Raw genomic sequence first — 21,856 nt, forward strand, 5'->3', positions numbered from 1 at the left:
GCAGTGACCTCTAAAAGCCAGCACAGATTCACTTAAAATAATTGATATGAAATCTTGAGAGCAAAGTCAAAAAACGCACTGTGTTTGGATTACAGCAAGACATTTGACAAAGCCTCACAGCATCCTTGAGAAATACGGGCTACGTAACAGAGAGTGGCTAACTAGTTTTGTTCTTTTGTTTGTTTTTTTGTTTTTGTTTTTGTTTTTTTAGATGGAGTCTGGTTTACACCTGTTTTATTGGCATCTCTTCTGGTTTACTGGGTATCTTGAATTTTTTTTTTTTTTTTTGGGGGGGTGGAGTTTCACTCTGGCACCCAGGCTGGAGTGCAGTGGCGCCATCTCGGCTCACTGCAACCTCCGCCTCCTGGGTTCAAGAGATTCTCCCGCCTCAGCCTCCTGAGTAGCTAGGATTACAGGCGCCTGTCACCATGCCCGTCTAATTTTTGTATTTTTAGTAGAGATGAGGTTTCACCATGTAGGCCAGGCTGGTCTCAAACTCCTGACTTTAGGTGATCCGCCCATCTTGGCATCCCAAGGTGCTGGGATTACAGGCGTGAGCCGCTGCACCTGGCCCAATGTGGCTAACTAGTTAAATGACTGGTTTAGACAATTGATCATAAGTAAATGCTAATGGATGGATTAATTTTGACCAGGTCTTAGTAGCCACCACAAGGCTCTTTCCTAGACATGTCTTGTTTAGCAGTTGATTGGTGTGTGATACTGATAGAACGCTGATGAGGTATTCAGCTGATAGGCACTGGGAGGGACAAGGAATACTTTGATAGGTTCAAAAATATATGGATAGGCCAAAGTACAAGTCTGTATCTAATTGGATAAAATTTAATAGATGTAATAGTACACTTTTTTACTTTTAATTTTAAAAATCAACTTAAAAAGTAGCATGAGGAGAATATAACTCAACTGCCATCTGTGTGGAGAAAGACTTTGATGTTTTAGTTTATTAAAAGCTTAATGTGGATACACACAAAAACACACACACATGGAGCAATAAGTTAAATCATGCCACCAGAGAAAATCACCTTCACTAAAAGGAAGACAGGAAGGAAGGAAAGAAGGAAGAGAAGACCATAAAGTAACTAGAAAACAACAAAATGGCAGGAGTAAGTCCTTACTTAGCAGTAATAACATTGAATATAAATGGACTAAACTCCCCAATAAAAAGACATACTATCTTTTTATTGGGCTGAATAACATTTTTAAAAAAGACTGACTGATCTGTTGCATACAGGTAATGCTTTACCTTTAAAGATATACATAGGCTGAAAATGAAGGGATGGAAAAAGATATTTCATGCTAATGGAAACCAAAAAAGAACAGAAGTCACTATACTTATGTCAGACAAAATAGAGTTCATGACAAAACTGTAAGAAGAGACAAAGAAGGTCATTATATAATGATAAAGGGGTCAATTCAGCAAGAGGATATAACAATTTTAAATACATGTGCCCCCAGTACTGGAGCACCCAGATATACAAAGCAAATATTATTAGAACTAAAGAGAAAGAGAGAGAGAGAGACCTCAATGCAATAATAGCTGGGGACTTCAACACCCCACTTTCAGCATTGGACCCATCTTCCAGAGAGAAAATCAACAAAGAAACATTGGACTTAATCTGCTCTATAGGCCAAATGGACCTAAGAGATATTTACAGAACATTTTATCCAAGAACTGCAGAATACACATTCTTCGCAGCATATGGATCATTCTCAGATATAGATGCTTTGTCACAAAACAAGTCTTAATATACTTTTAAAAATTGTGATAATATCAGGCATCTTCTCTGACCACAATGGAATAAAACTAAAAATCAATAGCAAGAGGAATTTTAGAAACTATACAAATACACGGAAATTAAACAATATGCTCCTGAATGACCAGTGGGTCAATAAAGAAATCAGAAAGAAAATTGAAAAATTTTCTTGAAACAAATGATGATGGAAACAGAACATACAAAACCTGTGGGATACAGTGAAAGCATTACCAAGAAGGAAGTTTATAGTGTCTACATCAAAAGAAGAAGAAAAACTTCAAATAAATAATGAGGCATCTTAAGGGACTAGAAAAACAAGAGCAAGCCAAACCCAAAATTAGTAGAAGAAAAGAAATAATAAAGATCAGAGCACAAATAAATGAAACTGAAATGAAGAAAATAACATAAAAGATCAATGAAACAAAAAGTTGGTGTTTTGAAAAGATTAGGAAAATTGACAAACCATTACCCAGACTAAGAAAAAAAAAAAAAAAGAAGACCCAAATAAATAAAATCAGAAATGGAAAGGGAGACACTACAACTTATACTACAAAAATTCAAAGGATCATTAGTAGCTACTATGAGCAACTATGTGCAAATAAATTGGGAACCTAGAGGAAATGAATAAATTCCTAGACACATAAACCTATCAAGATTGTACCATGAAGAAATCCAAAGTGTGACCAGACCAATAACAAGTAACGAGATTGAAGACATAATAAAAAGTCTCCCAGTAAAGAAAAGCTCAAGACCTGATGGCTTCACTGCTGAATTCCACCAAACATTTAAAGAAGAACTAATACCAATTCTACTCAAACTGCTCCAAAATAATAGAAGAGAAGGGAATACAAACTCATTCTACAAGTCCAGTATTACCCTGAGACCAAAACTAGACGAAGACACATCAAAAAAAGAAAATTACAGACCAGTGTCTCTGATGAGTATTGATGCAAAAATCCTCAACAAAATACTAGCAAACTGCATTCAACAAGACATTTAAAAGATCATTCTTCATGACCAAGTAGAATTTATCCCTGGAATGCAAGGATGGTTCAACATACACAAATCAGGCCAGGAGTGGTGGCTCACGCCTGTAATCCCAGCACTTTGGGAGCCTGGACAACAAGGTGGAACCCTGTCTCTACCAAAAAACAAAAAATTAGCCAGGCATGGTGGTGTGCACCCATGGTCTCAGCTATTAAGGAGGCTGAGGTGAAAGAATCGCTTGAGCCTAGGAGGTAGAAGTTCCAATGAGCCAAGATTGTGGTACTGCATTCCAACCTGGGTGACTGAGCAAGAATCTCACTCAAACAAAAACAAAAAACAAAAAAAAACCCACCAGAAATCAATCAATGTGACACACCATATCAACAGAGTGAAGGACATAAACCATATGATCATTTCAATTGATGCTAAAAAAAAAATTGATAAAATTCAATGTCCCTCCATAATAAAAACCCTAAAAAAACTGAGTATACTTTGGGAGGCCGAGGTGGGTGGATTACGAGGTCAGGAGATTGAGACCATCCTGGCTAACACAGTGAAACCCCATCTCTACTAAAAAATACAAAAAAATTAGCCAGGTGTGGTGGTAGGCACCTGTAGTCCCAGCTACTCGGGAGGCTGAGGCAGGAGAATGGTGTGAACCTGGGAGGCAGAGCTTGCAGTGAGCTGAGATCACACCACTGTACTCCAGCCTGGGCAACAGAGCGAGACTCCATCTCAAAAAAAAAAACTGGGTATAAAAGGAACATACCTCAACATAATAGAAACCATATGTGACAGACCCACAGATAGTTTCATACTGAATGGGAAAAAATTAACTCTTTCCTCTAAGATCTGGAACAAGACAAGGATGCCCACTTTCACCACTGTTATTCAACATAATACTGGAAGTTCTAGCTAGAGCAATCAGACAAGAGAAATAAATAAAGAGCATCCAAATTAGAATAGAAGAAATCAAATTATCCTAGTTTGCAGATGACATAATCTTACATTTGGAAACACCTAAAGATGCCATCAAACAACTATTAGAACTGATTAAAAAAATTCCGTAAAGTTGCAGGAAACAAAGTCGACATATAAAAATCAGTAGCATTTCTATATGCCAACAATGAACAACCTGAAAAAGAAATTTAAAAAGTAATCCCCTGATGGTGCTTTTCATGTTCTAGTAATGCACACATTTTGGCCCAGCCTCCTGATACCACAAGTTTCTTTTATGTACTTAGGCTCACTTATGGATGCATCACTTTAAAAGCCAGGAATTTAGGAAAGGTTCATAACATTTTTATAGAACCTTAAGCTTTTTGAAGGGTAAACACTTGTAAAACTTCTCTAAAGAACTGGTTGGGTGCGATGGCTCAAACATGTAATCCTAGCACTTTGGGAGGTCATGGTGGGTGGGTCACTTGAAGTCAGTAGTTTGAGATCAGCCTGACCAACATGGTGAAACCCTGTGTCTACTAAAAATACAAAAAAATTAGCTGGGTGTGGTGGTGCACGCCTGAAGTCCCAGCTACTCGGGAGGCTGAGGCAGGAGAATCACTTGAACCCGGGAGGCAGAGGTTGCAGTGAGCCAAGGTCGCACCACTGCACTCCAGCCTGGGCAACAGAGCGAGATTTCATCTAAAAACAAACAAACAAACAAACAAATTAAAAACTTAAGGAGGATAAAAATGAAGACAGTTTAGTTAATGGGTACAAAAATACACTTGGAATAAGTTTTAGTGGTTCAACAGCACAGTAGGGTGACTGTAGTTGTCAATAATGTATTGCATATTTCAAAATAGCTGGAAGATTTGAAATGTTCTCAACACAAAGAAATAATCAATGTTTGAGATGATGACCAATTACCCTGGTTTGATTATTACACATTGTATCATGTAGCAAAATATCACATGTACTCCCATGCATATGTACAATTATAATGTATCAATAAGAATTTAGTAAAAGACAAAAAGAAACAATTATTTAAGACTTTTAAGCAAATAGGAAAATAAGCTGACAATCACTACAAATATCAAGAAGGAATCCATTGGCTAGATAACCTAGAAAAAACAATACATTGTTTTCAAGCCAATAAATGTTTATAAAAAATTCAAATAATACAAGGAGGCCAGGCGCGGTGGCTCACACCTGTAATCCCAGCACTTTGGGAGGCCGAGGTTGGAGGATCACTTGAGGTCAGGAGTTTAAGATCAGCCTGGCCAACATGGCAAAACCCTGTCTCTACTAAAAATACAAAAATAAGTCAGGTGTGGTGGTGCACGTCTGTAGTCCCAGCTACTCAGGAGGCTGAGGCAGGAGAATCGCTTGAACCCAGGAGGTGGAGGTTGCAGTGAGCCAAGATCGTGCCATTGCACTCCAGCCTGGGCGACAGAGTGAGACTCTGTCTCAAAAACAAATAATAATAATAAATAAAAATAAATAAAGACAAGGAAAAGTAAGCAGAAGTTAAATCATATCACAACTCTGGTCTTGGTAGAAGGGTTTGGGGCATCTAGCATTTATCATTTAAAGACCTGAATTTAATTCTTATTTAATTCCATTTATGACAGGGATCATATTCATTCACTCACCTGAGCTGAAATTTGGCTTTCTGCAGTGACTGTAGGAGAGTCTAACAATGGACAGCACTGGGAATTTATTGCTTCTATAGTAAATGTTAAACTGAACAGTTTTAGCACTAACATTTTTAATATTATTAAAATAGTATTAAAATTTGGGGATAATATTTTAGGTTTATGTGCATATCCCAGAAGTTTATTCTTTAATAGTGATGTTTGTCATCAACTTTGGCTTCAGCTGAAGAGTGACTTATTTTTTGGCCCTTTTGGCATTTGGCTGAAATGTGTATTCAGTGCACTTCTAATGGAGGCATAATGGGGTATGAAAATATGGGAAAGGCAAAATTAATTCCAGCTGATGGCATTAGTGAAGGTTGAGTGGGGAACAGACATTTGAGATGGACAATGAAACATGAGGAGGCTTCTAACAGGCAGAGATGGGTTATAGAAAAAGGGGCACTTGAGGCCAAAAAGTGTGCTTGAATCTTTCCTGTAAAACTGTATGCACACAGGCGTGGTGGCTCATGCCTGTAATCCCAGCACTTTGGGAGGTCAAGGAAGGCAGATCACCTGAGGTCACGAGTTTGAGACCAGCCTGGCCAACATGGTGAAACCCCGTCTCTACTAAAAATACAAAAATTAGCCAGGCATGGTTGTGCACACCTGGAATCCCAGCTACTTGGGAGGCTGAGGCAGGAGAATGGTGTGAACCCGGGAGGTGGAGCTTGCAGTGAGCCAAGATCACGCCACTGCACTCCAGCCTGGGTGACAGAGAGAGACTCCATCTCAAAAAAAAAAAAAAAAAAAAAACCGGTATGTACCCAGCCATGATGTTTGTCTTCTGTGATTGCTACCTCCCACTGCTTCCATAGGATTCCTACCTCCAAGCTTCCATAATGAAATCCTTCCCTTTTCATTTCAAATTTTTGTCTTTAGTTTTTCTCAGCTCTCCTATAAATACACGTTTTTACATACACACAAAATATGCTTACATATACCAAAGTAACTATTTCCTAAAGGAACTCTTTGATAACAAGAAAAGTGCTGCTGTTATTAATTAGCATACGATGATTCAGTGTGACATGCTTTCTGAGTTATTCTGGCTGGAAGTTTAGAGATAACACTAATTAGAGCTTGTAATATTAACACATAAAGTAGAGTTGAAGTGTCATTTTATCAATCACTTTCACTCTAACCAAACCCTGAACACTAATGGGAACCATACTCTGTCCCTTGTTCAAATATTTTACCTGAAGGCCTCAGATTTGTTCTCTGTAGTGTGTTAGCCTGTTGAACTTCAACAGTTTTCCATTACTTGAAGTGGGTTAAATGCAGACGGTTGGGGGTGCCATACCACTTCTAGTTCAGATCATCATGTTTCTTTGATTAGGCACTATAGTAGTCAGCTTTTGCTAAGTAAGTCTATAGTAACAAACGAACCTAAACCTCAGTTTCCCCTTCGCTCACATTATATATTATGTCAGCTAGTGGCTGAGGCTCTGATCCATGTAATTTCTTATTCTAGAACCCAGGCAGAAGGACCAGCCTCTATTCAGAACTTGTCTCTCTTGGTGGAGGGAAAGAGCAGGCACACTAGTAGAGAAAGGCAGTGACTCTTAAAGCTTCCACCCAGAACTGTCGGATTGTCCCTTCCACTTATATTTTATTGACCAAAGCAAGATTCATGTTTCTAAACTTTGTGATTACAATATGACATTTAACCGAAGAGAGGAGGAAAATCCCATCATGGGATCATAGCCAAGCCTGGAATGCCTGCGGGGCAGCACTGGAAGTCACATAGTAGTGGGCAAGCCTGTCTATTCCTCTAAAGGAGAGCAAATATGTGGGAACAATATTTCAATCTACCACAGGTATTTAGTGGACTTACCTTTTCACTTATTTATGTAAATCTAATTTCCATGTTTTTCCTGTTTGTTTTCCTCCAAGAATTATGTTTCCAACTCTAAGGGAATAGTGGCAACCCTAAATTATAGCCTTTTTAAAAGAGAGCTCTGTCTCTATTTCAGGACTTTCACAGGATCTTATTCTCCTGTGTAGTCAACCCTCTTGCAGCTGGTGTTTACATCCAAATCAGGTCACTGGCTGGCATTTACAGGTGAACCTTCTGGGTCTGTGTCCCAAGAGGAGAGTAGGAGAGAGAGGGAAGAACCCAACATTCATTTATTTACAAATATTTATTGAATACTTTCTGTGTGCAGGCAGTATTGTAGATGCTAGGGATGGAGGAGTAAACAAAGCAAAGCTTGTTGAGCTTCCACTAAGGAAACAAGCAATATGAAGCTATGTGGTAAAAGTGCTATGACGACAAGTAAAGAAAGGAGAGAATGGCAGGGTAAGGTGGTAAGAGGAAGACTTTCAGAGGTAACATGTGAGCAGAACCTTCATTAAAATGAGGGCATGAGCTAGAAGCATCTGGGAGGAAAATCATTCTCCTGCACAGCATAAAGACTCTGAGATGGGGAGAAACTTGGCAGGATTAAGAAACCTCAGGGAGGCCAGTATGACTAGAGCAGTATCAGAGAGAATATGTGGTAGGAAACAAAACAATCATATACAGATTTGTAGAGGTGTTAATTATGGATTTTATTCTAAATGTGATGGAAGCCATGAACGGTTTGGAGCAAGATGGTGATATGATCTGATTTGTTTTTAAAAGATCATTCTGGGCTGGGAGTGGTAGCTCACGCGTGTAATCCCAGCACTTTGGGAGACCAAAGTGGGCAGATCACCTGAGGTCAGGAGTTCAAGACCAGCCTAGTCAACATGGCGAAACCCCGTCTCTACTAAAAAAATACAAAAATTAGCTGGGTGTGGTGGGGTGGGGGGCCTGTAATCTCAGCTACTAGGGAGGCTGAGGCAGGCAGAATTGCTTGAACCCCGGAGGCAGAGGTTGCAGTGAGCAGAGATCACGCCACTGCACTCCAGCCTGGGCGACAGACAGAGACTCCGTCTCAAAAAAAAAAAAGTCATTCTGGCTGCTAATATAGCGAATGTGTTATAGCAAAGGAGTGGAAGAAGTGAGGAAGGTTCTACCTCTTCAGTGCTATCCAATACTAAGGTATTACTCTTAACATCTCTGGCCCCATATGTGGTATTTAATGTACACGGATTTAAGAGATTCATGTTTATAAGCTTTGTGATAAAAATATGATAATGTATGCCTGAAGAAAGGAAAAAATCCACCATCAAACTGCATTATTTTAGAAAAAGGAACTAAAATAAGATGTATACATTCGTTAGGAAAAATTTGAAATGAATAGCGAAAATATATTTAATATATGCCTAACAGCCCATATTGGAAGGTGAGAGAGGAAAAGTGTAATAGATTAAGTCAGTCAGACACTGAATTAAAAAGTCTCTCTGACCAAAGCAAAAGAAGCCATATTGCAGAGGAAAGTCCTTCTTAAAATAAACCATATCAGCTGGGTATGGTGTTGCATGTCTATAATTTCAGTACTTTGGGAGGCCACGGTGGGAGGGTCCCTTGAGCCCAGGAGTTCAAGACCAGCCTGGGCAACATAGGGAGACCCTGTCTCTACAAAAAAAAAAAAATTAAAAAAATTAGTTGGGTGTGGTGGCATATGCTTGTAGTCCCAGCTGCTCAGGCTACTCAGGAGGCTGAGGTTGGAGGATTGCTTGAGCCCAGGAGGTCACGGCTGCAGCGAGCCATGATAGCACCACTTCACTACAGCCTGGGTGACAGAATGAGATTGTCTCAAAAAAAAAAAAATTGATGAGATTTAGGAGACACATCAGTCTGATCAGCAGTGGAAATCACATTAGAATTTGACTCAAGAGAACTGTGTCTCATCTCTGGATCTCCAATTACTGGCTCTGGGACCTTATACAAATTACTTAACTTTTCTGAGTCTTCATTTTCTTATCTATAGAAATGGAGGATACCAGTTTATTCTTTATAGAGTTTTGAGGACTAGATTAGTTTTGAGGATTAGATGAGATATTACAAATGAAGTGCTGGCCCAGTGGTTGGTATGTATTATAAGTATAAACATTCTTATGAACCTGAATTCTGTAGGAAATTGCTCTCAGAAAGCTGTTATCTCCAAGAGATTGACCCAAAGATGGTATAGAAAATAAAATGCAATGGCCACAAGATTGAGTGTTGACTGTCCTCTAAGTATTTGCAATTGAGAAGGGTTTTTTCCTGGCCAAGCACGGTGGCTCACGCCTGTAATCCCAGCACTTTGGGAGGCCAAGGTGGGCAGATCATGAGGTCAAGAGTTCAAGACCAGAATGGCCAACATGGTGAAAACCCATCTCTACTAGGACTACAAAAATTAGCTGGGTGTGGTGGCACGTGCCTGTAATCCCAGCTACTTGGGAGGCTGAGACAAGAGAATCACTTAAACCTGGGAGGCAGAGGTTGCAGTGAGCCGAGATCACACCACTGCACTTTAGCCTGGGCGGCAGAACAAGACTCTGTCTTGGAAAAAAAAAAAGAAGGGTTTTTTTCCCTTAAAAACCTAAACCATCAGTGATCTCCATTGCTGAAATTAGTGGGTGCCAGTTGCATGAAATTCCAGGATGTTTATCTAACCTAGGGTCCTCCCTCCTCTGAGGGGAAGAAGTAGATGCCAGGAGAGGTTTAAACCATGAAGTGGCTCGCACACTGGGTGTAGCTGGAATGTACCTCAAGCAGGCACGTCAGTCCACTTCTTTGGCTGCATTTTTGAAAGGTGTGTCAAAGTTTAGCATTATTCCTGGGGATGGTCTACTCCTGAAGAGCAGGCCAGGAAAATTCCCAGTAAGTGACTAAATGAATAAATGGAAAAATGTCGCAGTTCCCTCTCCTCAGAGCCTCGCACAAAAGGTAGCCATTACATAGGCCACTGTCAAACAGTCCTCTGAGAGATTCCCACACTCTTCCTCTTCCCTCTAGACTACCCATCTGCCCCAATCCCCCCCTTGAGCAGCCTATTCTGTTTTTTCTCCCACTACAGCAGCCAGCCCCACCGCCTGGTGTAGAGCTTGAAGATGGAAAGGGAAGATAGGATGGGCAGAAACTGCCCTGCAATAGCTACATCATCCCCGAAACGCATACCTAAGAAAACCACTAAGGTCACCACACCCTGGAGGTGACATTCGCATGATTTATGCCTCTCTTGGGCTTTAGATTTTATTCCTTTACTTTTCTATAACTCTGTCATGACCAGTTTAAAGGCCCCAATGTCATGTCCTCGCATTAACAACCAAGGCTACAATGCAAGCCCTGCCATGTGCGCTTCTTTACAAAAGGTCAAAGTAAAAAGGAAATCTATACCAAAGAGCCTCTAGATACTATTTCCAGCTTCGGGGAAGTCCATAGTAGGTACTTCCACGGGTAGAGAACATTATCTTAGACTGGGATAAGGGTTGGTATTCGCAGTCCCCTTCCTACGTTCTGCCCATTGTAAAGACCAGGGTCAGCGTTGAGCCTCGCCCTTCTTGCTAGAACTACAACTCCCAGGATGCCCCGCGGCACGGGAGTGCGCACGCGCGTCGGAGGCGAAGGAGGAACCCACCGCACCTACAGGGCGGTCGAGTGAGGGAGCTGCTGGCGGGTGGGTCTGGCAACTCTTTGGGAGGCCGACGCGGGCGGACCGGCGGGTGCTGGGAACCGAGCCTCGGCTTGCGGCCGGCAGTTTCCGTGGGTCTGTGAAGAGGTCGGCGGCCCCTGCGGGCGCCAGTCAGGTAAGCCCAGCCCGGTGCTTTCCAGGAAGTCCGTCTGCGGGCGCGGGTAGGGAGTCGCACCGGCCATGGTGGCTGAGGAGGGAGAGGTTGCTGCCCGCCGGCCGCCCGACTCCAGGCTCCTTCCCGACGGGTCCGTCTCGGGGAGCAGGGGTGCGCGGGGGCTGCTTCTGCGCGAACGGCCCGGGCGGGGGACGTGGGGCGCGCTGGGCGTCGCCCGCCGGTCTAGGCGCGCGAACCTGGCGTTCCCAGTGAATCACCCGCGGCCCGGGCGCCCGGGTTCGGGACCGGCCCCCTCCCCTCCCGCTGAGCCGCGGCCGAGCTGGCTCCCTGCACCCTACCCAGCGTCGCCGGGACGCGATCACACCGAGATGGCACCGAGCCTCCTTCAAAGGCTTCGGCTTGTTGAAAGTGGGGCGGCGGAGTGGGGGAGCCAAAACTTAGGGCACACCCTTTTTGTGATTGAAATGTGGCTGCCCTTGCATTCACCGGTTTGATCTGTCTGCTCTTAGAATTAAGTTCCTAGCTCCCAGGCAGCACAGCTGGATCCGGCTGGGAAGTTTGTGTGTTAGTTTGTTTTGAGGACGTGACTGTGTCGTTATATTTTTGCTTGCGGGGGATGGTGTGTTTCCTCCGCAAGCCTGCATTCTGATTACAAACAGAAATGGGAAACAGCCACAGTTTCTTTTTTTCTTTTTAATGTTTAGTTAAGAATCGCATTTCCAACTTGCCCTTGGCCTCTGTTAAAACCAAAAGTCATCTGGCAATGAACACTGCAGTAAAACTTACCCCAGGAGGCCATACTTCAACAGGAAATAAGCCTGTGGAGATTTAAGTTAGTTATGTGCAGCCTCCCTTGGTTTGTAACATTTTCATGCAGCTCATGTCTCCTCTCCTTTTCTGAGAAACCTTCAGATTAATTTTTTTGGCAGATTAAATTGATTAATTGGCCCGTCAAAAATATATTAGGCTTGGAAAAATAGCTTTGCCAAGTCTCATTTACTCTTGCTAGTTTCTTCTTCCTAGGCACCTTTTCACCTTTAAGAGTCAGCAATCATAATAGTTACAGTCCCCTTTCTTACACATTCCTACGAAAGGAACAAAACGAATTAAAATGTCCCAATATATTTTAATTCTTTGAGCTTTCTTTGCTTTTGCAACTCTCAGAAATTGTAGTTTGCTGATCTTTAAAATTAGGTTGTTGGACCAGATGACCCCCAAGATTATTCTGCCCCTAAATATCTCTCGTTTTTAAAAGTTCATTTATTTTGCTCATTCAGGAAACACTGGCGATATGCATTCCAAGTCCTATGATAGACATGAGAAAGAGCAAACATGAGTTCTTGAGAATGCTGTAGACCTACTGCTCAATTTTATTTAATCATATTTTTTATGATTAATTCCTAAATTTTGTGGTATATCCAATATGCCAACCTACATTGTAATTAATAACTTCATCTGAAATTAAATAGGTACAGGTCAAATCCCATTCAAAGATTTTTCGTGTCTTAATTACTGGCCCATTGAAACAAAACAGGTTTGGTACAACAGAAAGGCCCTGAATGGTGGAGGGCAGTCTTTTCAAACACTTTAGCATGCATAATTCATTCAGGATATTCTAGGTTTGAAGTAGAGTCCAAAGTCTGTATGTCTGATGGGTGATGCTGTCAGAGACCATACTTTGAATGTCAAGTGTGGGGAGGTAATTTTAGAGGTATTTTCAGGTGTTTTTAATAGCAATTTAAATACTGGTACTGATAACTGATATTAGATACATAATTGATGGCTTTTTCAACTCTCAGTTTTTTAAAATACTGTAGTCCTATGAACTCTAACAAGAACAATTGTCATCATAAGTTTTTCTCCTTCTTTCCTTTTCCTTTCTCTTTGCTAGTTTTTCTTTTTTCTCTTTGCTTTTTTTTTCTCTCCTCCTCTTCCTTCCTTAATTGTTTTCATTCACATTAATTTGGCAATTCATGAATTCAAGTATGTGTCTTGCCCCATTCTGTATTCTGTACAAAGCAATGTTTCAGGCTCCTGGTGAATATGTATAAGACATGAGGCCAGGGCCGGGCCTGGTGGCTCACACCTGTAATCCCAGCACTTTGGGAGGCCAAGGTAGGAGGATTGCTTGAACCCAGGTGTTTGAAATCAGCCTGGGCAACATAGCAAGACCCTGTCTCTACAAAATAAAATAGATTAGCCAGGTGTAGTGGTGATGCCTGTAGTCCTAGCTACTCAGGAGGCTGAGGCAGGAGGATTGCTTGAGCCCAGGAGTTTGAGGTTACAGTGAGAGACAATGATTGTGCCACTGCACTCCAGCCTGCGTGACAGAGTAAGACCCTGTCTCTCTAAAAAAAGAAAAAAAATTATATATATATATATATATATATATATATGAATGACATGGTTCCTGTCTAGGACCTTATTCTCTTTGGGATTAGGCAGATATACTTATGTATAGTCCACAGCACTTGTAAGAGCCACCTGTAGGGAATAAAAACGTGGTAGATATTCAGGAGAGATATTTTCCAGTTGCAGGAGTGGGGAACAACTAAAGTCAATATTTTTTTCCATTCACTGGTCATCTCTTTCCCCAGGCTATACTGTCTATACTGTTTGAATGTATGTGACATATCTACATAGAGTATAGTGGAATTCTGTAAATTTATTTTATTTGGAACCTGAGATGAGCCAGATACATGAACATAATTAGAACCGGATGTGGTGGCACGCTTCTGTGGTACCAGCCACTTGGGAGACTGAGGCAGGAGTACCACTTGAGCCCAAAAGTTCCAGGACAGCCTGGGCAACATAGCAAGACCCTGTCTCAAAAACTAAAACAAAAGAGAAAATCAATTATATCTGAGCAATATCACAGGGAGGATGAGAGGCTTTGCGGATAAAAGTATACCTGGATAGAGGGAGGGAGAAAGATAAAGAGGAGGATCCAGTAAACAGTAGAGGAAAAAAAGGCTTTTAGTAAGGTTTTCTGGTGTCAGTCTGATGTATACTGATATTTAGGCTGTGTTGTAGCTGGCAAACTACTCTTCACACTTTTCAGTTGCTCTTTAATATGCATGAGCTCTCTCGATTAGAGTAGATGAGGAGGGCATTATTCTCTAGGCCGTGTGGCTAAAGCGCTATCATCCCTTGGTCATTGATAGTCCTTGCTGACATTTGATTTACATGCAGTTTTATGTCAGATCCTTTAAAATCACAAATATATGGAGAGAAAAATGGTATAGACAATAGAATATTCTACTGGGCCTATAACTGGTCCATTAAGTGCTTATTTAAATTGTAAACAATCAAATTTAATTTGGTGTTTATAAAAAATTATGTATGTGAACATACATTCTGTTATCTATATGTGTCTGTAATCCATTAGCTTATTTACAATGATCAAAGAATAGAAGTGTGAATAAATCAGAATGGCACATGATTGAAAATGCTGTGTAACTGAAGATGCATTTGTGTAGTCTTGAATTTCATTTGAAACAAAATTGTTAGTCTGTATCTTGAAGCACATTGCTACTTTGTATTTTTATTGATGTATAATTAACATTCAATAAAATGCACATAATATCCAGTTCAAGGAGTTCTGACAATTGTATACACTGTAACTTCTACCAAAATCAGATAGAAAACATTTTTTTTAAGTCACCCTAGAAAGTTCCCTCACCCACCTTCCTCCAAAGGCAATCACTTCCTGACTCCATAGATTTCTGACACTACAGAGATTTTTTGACTGGTCTTGGACTTCACATAAATGGAATCATACAGCATGTGCTTTTTTTGTGTTTGGCTTCTTTCATGTAAGAAAGATTCATCTATGTTGTTGGCAAGTATCAGTGGTTTGTCCTTTTAAGTTGTTGAATAGTATTCCATTGTATGAATGTACCCCAATTTATATTTTCTCCTTGATGGATATTTGGAATAAGATTGTTATGAACATACTTTTACAAGTTTCTTGATAAATACCTAGGAGCAGAGTTACTGAGTCATAGGGTATGTGTATGTTTAACTTTATTAAAAATCTGCCAAACAGTTCTCCAAAGTGGTTTATACTGAGTTCTACTTGCTCCGTATTTTTAGTGTTGCCAATGTTTAGTATTGTCAGCCTTTTCAATTTTAGTCACACTACAGGATGTATGGTTGTACCTCATTATGGTTTTAATTTACATTTTTCTGATGATTAAGAATGTTGAGTGCTTTATCATATGTTAATTGGCTATGCAGTATCTTTTTTTGTGAATTGTTTGTTCAAGTCTTACCTAGTCTTTCATTGGGTCATTCATCTTTTTATTGTTTGTAGGAGCTCTTTATATATTCAAGGTACAAGTTCTTTGTCACATATAGAGATAGATGTGTTGACAGTTTTTTTTTATACAGTCTGTCCCTTGTCTACTTTCTCAATGATATTGTGATGAGCAGAAATTTTTAATTTTTATAAAGTCTGTTTTATCAATTTTTTGTATTATGGCTAGTGTTTTTTGTCCTGACCAATAAATTTTTACCAGTGCCCAGGATTGCAAAGAAAGCTTTTTCTTCTAGAAACTTTATTTTTCTAAGTTTTTCATTTGAGTCTGTGATTGATCTCAAAGTAATTATTATTGTGTTATGATATAAGATAGGAGTTTGGGTTCATTTTCCACCTATATAGATATCTAGTTGTTCCAGCAACATAGGTTTAAGAAAAACTTCCCTTTCTCGGCCAGGCACAGTGGCTCACACCTGTAATCCCAGCGCTTTGGGAGACCAAGGCAGGCAGATCATTTGAGCCCAGGAGTTTGAGACCAGTCTGGGCAACATGACAAAACCACATTTCTACTAAAAATACAAAAATTAGCCGGAAGTACTGGCATGCACCTATAATCCCAGCTACTTGGGGGGCTGAGGCAGGAGGATCATCTGAGGGAGGTGGAGGCTACAGTGAGTTGTTATCATGCCACTGCACTCCAGCCTGAGGGCCAGAGTAAGACCCTGTCTCAAGACAAAACAGAACACATCTCTTTTTTGTTTGTTTTTCTCCATTAGATTGACTTGGCATCTTAGCGTGTCAGCTGAGCTACTTTGCATTTTAGTTGTGCTTATATTGTCAGTTTCTTAAGCACGGACCCTGACCTTAAAAATTAAATGTTTATGCTCCTCTTCCAGATTGGGACTTGACTGAGATTGATCCAGGGCTAGTTACCATGTATTTCCTGATGGAAGAATGTTAAGTATGAATTTGAATTTTAAATGGCTTTTCTGTGGGTCGAGTTAATGGAGACAACCTCATTTTAGAAGCAATTGCATCTTCCTTATAAAATAGGCAGATGTTTAGAATGAAGGAGATGTAAGCAAGGAAAGATCACCTAGGACTCCAACATAGCAAGCTATAGGGAGCTTAATATTTCTTGTTTATTGGCTTGATCTAAATAGATGCAATTATATATAAGCCATGTGTTTTAGTTTCCATCTTTTTCTGTTTTGTTTTGTTTTGAGACAAGGTCTCAATTTGTCACCCAGTTTGGAGTGCAGTAGTGTGATCTTGGCTCACTGCAGCCTCGACCTCCTGGGCTCAAGCAGTCCGTCAGCCTCAGCCTCTCAAGTATTAATAGCTGGGACTACAGGCATGCACCACCATAACTGGCTAATTTTTGTATGTTTAGTAGAGATGGAGTTTCATCATGTTTCCCAGGCTGTCCTTGAACTCCTGAGCTCAAGCAAACTGCTCACCTTGGCATCCCAAAGTGCTGGGATTACAGGCGTGAGCCACCACACCCAGCCTTAGTTTCCATGTTTCTACTCCATTGTCTATTCCAATCCTTTGTGATGCAATTTCTGAATTTGCCTTGGAACAATTTTTAGGGAGACAGTTTGGTTATTTTTTTCTTCTAAGTTTATTTGCTGATAATACACTAAGTTTTAAAAAGAATGTCACCCCAACCTCATTATTCTTATGTAGCTATTTTTACTTTTCCTCATTTCTTTCCAGGCCTGATTCATTCTCATACGTATTTTTATATGATTGTAATCATAGTGTGCATATTGTTTTTTGTTCAGAGATTGAGTTGTAACTAGTGAATGCTGTCTCCCTTAGGTAGATCACCCTTGTTAGTAAAGACAAAGATTAGAGATGGAGAAAAGACAACTGGGGACTTACCAGTGAGGAGTCTTGAATCCTAAAGCTTAACTAAAATAGAAGCAGAAAAAAGCTAAGATTTTCAAAGACAGGATTACCTTTCTGTGGAAATGCAGGACAACTTTGGTTTCCTTATTCATTCCTTCCCCCTTTCTCTAACATATAACAGCTTTAGTGAGATATAATTCGCACACCATACAATTCACCCATTTAAAGTGTACAGTTCAGTGGATTTTGCTACATTCAGAACTGTAGAACCATCACCACCATTTTAGAACATTTTCATCACACCAGAAATAAACCCCTTACCATTAGCAGTTACTACCTAATTCCTCCCAATTCCCCCCTGGTCTCCCCCACCCAGCCCTAGGCAACCACTAATCTACTCTCTCTTAAGATTTGCCTCTTCTGGACATCTCATATAAATGGAATCATATAATATGTCATATTTTGTGCCTGGCTTCTTTCACCCTTATACTACTCTTAAGAATTCGTTTTCACGCCTATAATCCCAGCACCTTGGGAGGCTGAGGCGGGTGGATCACGAGGTCAGGAGATCGAGACCATCCTGGCCAACATGGTGAAACCCCGTCTCTACTAAAAATACAAAAATTAGCCAGGCATGTTGGCACACACCTGTAGTCCCAGCTACCCGGGAGGCTGAGGCAGGAGAATCGCTTGAACCTGGGAGGTGGAGGTTGCAGTGAGCCGAGATCATGTCACTGCACTCCAGCCTGGTGACAGAGTGATGCTCCGTCTCAAAAAAAAAAAAAGAAAAAAGAAAAAAGAAAAATACTGAAATACAGTCAAGGTTCCTCCTGAGATGTGCACCCTTTTTGAGCTATAAAGATATCCACTGCCTCGGGTATATATGTTCAACACCTGCACCCACTCACTAAGGAAGGAACACAAACACACTAAGACAAACTTACAAACTAAGGTAACATATACAGTGATGATAACCCCCTACAAATAAACAGTTTCATATCTGGGCATAACTAAGCATGAACATCATGATAAGTACATACAAGTGAACACAGTTCCTGAAGTGTCTGTGAGAAAGTGAATAAAAACATGGTAAACTAGAAGAAAATGAGGGCTGGGTTTGATATATATATATATAGACTTGTAGGTAAGAAGATTGTTGTATTTCCTTAACCATAGCATAGCAATTCTTTTGAGCAGGATATTATTAGTGATACTTATACAGTAGGGGATTTCCATCCATGTGGAAAATTACAGCCAACAAAATATTTTCATTCCCTGGGTGTGGTGGTAAAACTTTGATGAGGAGTTAAGGAATATTCAGAAGAAGCCCCTCAAATGTATATGAGTCTGGCTTATATTCAGGCAGCCCTTACCCTGAGGCAAACGTGACAAGATATGATACAACCCCCAAGATTTATTTTCATTCATGGTGGGCTATAATTAACCCAGGTTAATACTCTTAGGGAACTATTCTTTTTTTTTTTTTTCCTCTTTAATGTGCCCACTTGAGTGCTAGACCAGCTGAGGAGTTGGGGGTCTAATTTCACTGGAAATAGCAATAAATATGTGATGATTTCAAAGTCATGCCCACCCCACTTTTGTTTTTCTCCTGTTGTCCCTAAGATTTACAGTTTCTTGGTGAAAAATTACAGAACCCTACACAGAAATGGACCAAGGCAGATGTGTAGGATTTCACCTCTGCAAGGCCTTCGGGGCAGGTGGGCTCTTCTGTTAGTCCTCAGCACACCCTCTGTGCTTGCCTTTCCTCTGCCACTTTTCTTGAACCCCCATTATTATTCCTTGTCAAGTCATCTCACTTCCTGCTTTCCTTAGACATTGGCCAGCATTCCAAGTGATATAGTGTGCCCTCCACCAGAGAATAGCTGGCACTGCTTTAAGCCCCTTAGCCTTCCCTCCTACCTCAGAAGAAACTGTTTCCTCTTTTCTTCTCCCACTGCCTGAATCTGGTATAGCACACAAGGGGAGCCTCTGCAGAAATGTTACTTGAACTGGTCCCTGAAAGATGTGAAAGGATTTGAACATGAGAAAGAGTGCAAAAGGACATTTCCTGTGTAATGAACCGTGTGATGTAAGGGCTGCAGGCGGAAGAGCATGGAGGCGTACTTACTTCTGTGTAACACAGGGTGTGTGAAGATCGCTCCTTTCCCTTTACTTTTCTTCTTCTTGCCCTGGATTCCCTCCCAGCTCCAACCTTTTTCAGCCTGTGCTTTGATCTCTTTGTTTAGTATATACTTCTCCACTCCTCTCTGTGTAGCTAATTCTGTCCCTCCCTGACCACCCACAGTGATCTCTGAATTTCTGTACACTAATAGCCAGTACCATTCTTTTGGCAGTTAATTATATATTTTCTTGAAAAAAACAAAAAGCACTTTATGTGCATGTCTCATTTTCCCAAATAGAGTATGTTAGTCAAGGTGTTTAGGTCTCCGGGAACACAAACCCACTTAAGCTATCTTGCTAGATGGTATGGTGGCAGAGCTGGGAGTTGTACTGCATTACTATTGTAAGGCTGCTGAGGTCCGTGAAATGACCTACCACTGGTACCCAGAGCAGACACTTTGAAAGTCTCTGTCCTCTCTCTGCTTGTAGGGCTCTCTTTGGCTTCTTTCTGTGCCTCTGCTCCATTTTAGGACATTAATTTTAATTTTTAAAAAATAGTATGCATTACTGTGTAATTTATCTTGATTGCTGAGCTTTTTTGCACCCTATTAAATACTGAGACACCCTGAGGCAGGTGCCTCCTTTACTTTTTCCCTGTAGCCCCAGCCCTGCTTCATTCTCTTCCCTGCAGACTGACCTTCTGTGCTTTCCCCTTAGCTTCAGCTTCAAGGTGACTAGCTTGTTATGGTAGTGCCTCCAGACTTGGTGATACCTTATGTCTCAACTTGAGTTTTGTCTCCCAGCTTTCCAGATTTCTGGAGAAGAATTGAATTTGATCCGTCCTGGTTAGATTGAGAGTGGTGACCCCTGTACCAAACAGCTGTGAAAGATGTGGCTTTGTTATGTTGTTTCTTTGGCTGTATATTTCACAGGGACTGGAATAAGGGGTGGGTCCCCCCACACAAGGAGGTTTGGGGTTGTTCATCTCAAAACATGCTTATTTTGATGTCAGAAGGAAGTGACCATGCCTTCTCTTTTTTGGTATGTTCCCTGCATCTGGCAGATTGACAGCTAAGAAATAGGTGTATCTCTCTTTTTTTTTTTTTCCATTTTGTTTGAGACTGGGTCTCACTCTGTTGCCTAGGCTGGAGTGCAGGTGTGATCATAGGTCCCTGCAACCTCCGCCTCCCAGGCTCAAGCAATCCTCCCACCTTAGCTGCCCAAGTAGCTGGAACTAAAGGCACGTGCCACCATGCCTGGCTAATTTTTTGTAATTTTTATAGAGATGGGGTCTCTTTATGTTACCCAGGCTAGTCTCAAACTCCTGGGCTCAAGCAGTCCTCCTGCCTTGGCCTCCCAAATTGCTGGGATTACAGAGGTGAGCCACCACACTCAGTCTTCTCTTATTTGGTGTCTATTTATTCCTATGACTTGCCATTTGACCATTAGGATTAACTTTTAGGTATAATAGTCAATTCAGAGCAATTTTTTTTTTCGAGACAGGCTTTCGCTGTCATCCAGGCTGGCGTGCAGGTGTGATCATAGCTCACTGCAGCCTTGAACTCCTGAGCTCAAACAATCCTCCTGCCTCAGTCTCCCAAGTAGCTGGGACTACAATTTGTACACCACCACACCTGGCTAATTTTTCTAGTGAGCAATATTTTTAATACTTAAAATGAATTACTAAAATTTGTGTTATCATTTGGAAATTTTCTAATTTTATAGCAGATTAAATATTTTTTAAACATTTCTTTTTGGAATTTGTTTCTCAGTTCAGAAAGAATAGGGGAGTAGAATATTGATAATCAAAGAGTGACAATACAGTACAACTTTACTGACTCCGCTCCCAGCCCCATTAGGATATGATAAAACCAAGTTCTCACATCATTGACCTCAATGCTTACTGAGTCCCCTTATATTACTTTATTTTATGTTAATTTAGTGTCTACCATGTTGCAGGCACTATATTAGGGGCTGATAATGTAAAAATAGGTCCTTGCCCTCAAAGTGCTCACAATCTATGGTGGAAATAGATTGTGGTCTCTCTGTCAGAGACATGGAGACTGATTATGGTCTGGTGAGATAAATATTGATAGAAGTGTGGGCAAAGTGGTGGGCTAGCACCTCTCTTCTATTGTTTTCTTTGTGTACATCGATCTCTCACTCTTCTGTATTCTCTTTAGTTTCCAACTCTCTCAGTCTCTGCGCTTAATTGCTTATGTTATGTGGATCAGAGTATAGTATGAATAATATCTCATTTACTTAATGTGAACTAATGAAGTGTTCCTTAAAAATGAAGATAATATTTAATGAAGATAATGACTATTAGCTAACATTGATCACATGCTCTGTGTTAGGTACTGTTCTAAGTGATGTATATATGTTATCCTCATTTAACAAATTAACATATCAATCCCATGAGATGGTTACTCTTATTATTCTTATTTTACGGATGAGAAAACAGAGGGACAAAACAATAGTTCAATATCTTGCCCAAGGTTATAAAGTTAGCAAGAAGTTGAAATCTTTTTTGTAAGTTATTTTAAATGTCATTTTTAAAATAAGAT

The 21,856-nt window shown here is 40.6% G+C and overlaps 1 protein-coding gene across 1 annotated transcript in view, besides 3 other annotated features; it reads left to right on the forward strand.

Annotated features, from left to right (window-relative positions):
- Positions 2,475 to 2,675: a silencer, noted in NCBI's record as "peak2338 fragment used in MPRA reporter construct". NCBI's record gives its function as "represses an SCP1 promoter by STARR-seq MPRAs in K562 erythroleukemia cells {active_cell/tissue: K562}" and the evidence as "EXISTENCE:reporter gene assay evidence [ECO:0000049][PMID:32103011]".
- Positions 10,775 to 10,929: a silencer, noted in NCBI's record as "fragment chr15:52121755-52121909 (GRCh37/hg19 assembly coordinates)". NCBI's record gives its function as "represses an EF-1alpha promoter that drives an FKBP-Casp9 reporter gene in an ReSE screen in phorbol 12-myristate 13-acetate-treated (for megakaryocytic differentiation) K562 erythroleukemia cells {active_cell/tissue: K562(+PMA)}" and the evidence as "EXISTENCE:reporter gene assay evidence [ECO:0000049][PMID:32094911]".
- The window catches only part of TMOD3 (tropomodulin 3), an 86,073-nt gene continuing 75,086 nt past the window's right edge, over positions 10,870 to 21,856 (forward strand). The window contains exon 1 of the mRNA NM_014547.5: positions 10,870 to 11,053. The gene's annotated coding sequence lies outside the window, so the exon portion shown is untranslated. The remainder of the gene's footprint in view (positions 11,054 to 21,856) is intronic.
- Positions 11,150 to 11,429: a silencer, noted in NCBI's record as "silent region_6441". NCBI's record gives its function as "represses an Ori minimal core promoter by ATAC-STARR-seq in GM12878 lymphoblastoid cells {active_cell/tissue: GM12878}" and the evidence as "EXISTENCE:reporter gene assay evidence [ECO:0000049][PMID:35858748]".

This window comes from Homo sapiens, chromosome 15 (assembly GCF_000001405.40).
Source record: "Homo sapiens chromosome 15, GRCh38.p14 Primary Assembly".
Classification (NCBI taxonomy): domain Eukaryota; kingdom Metazoa; phylum Chordata; class Mammalia; order Primates; family Hominidae; genus Homo; species Homo sapiens.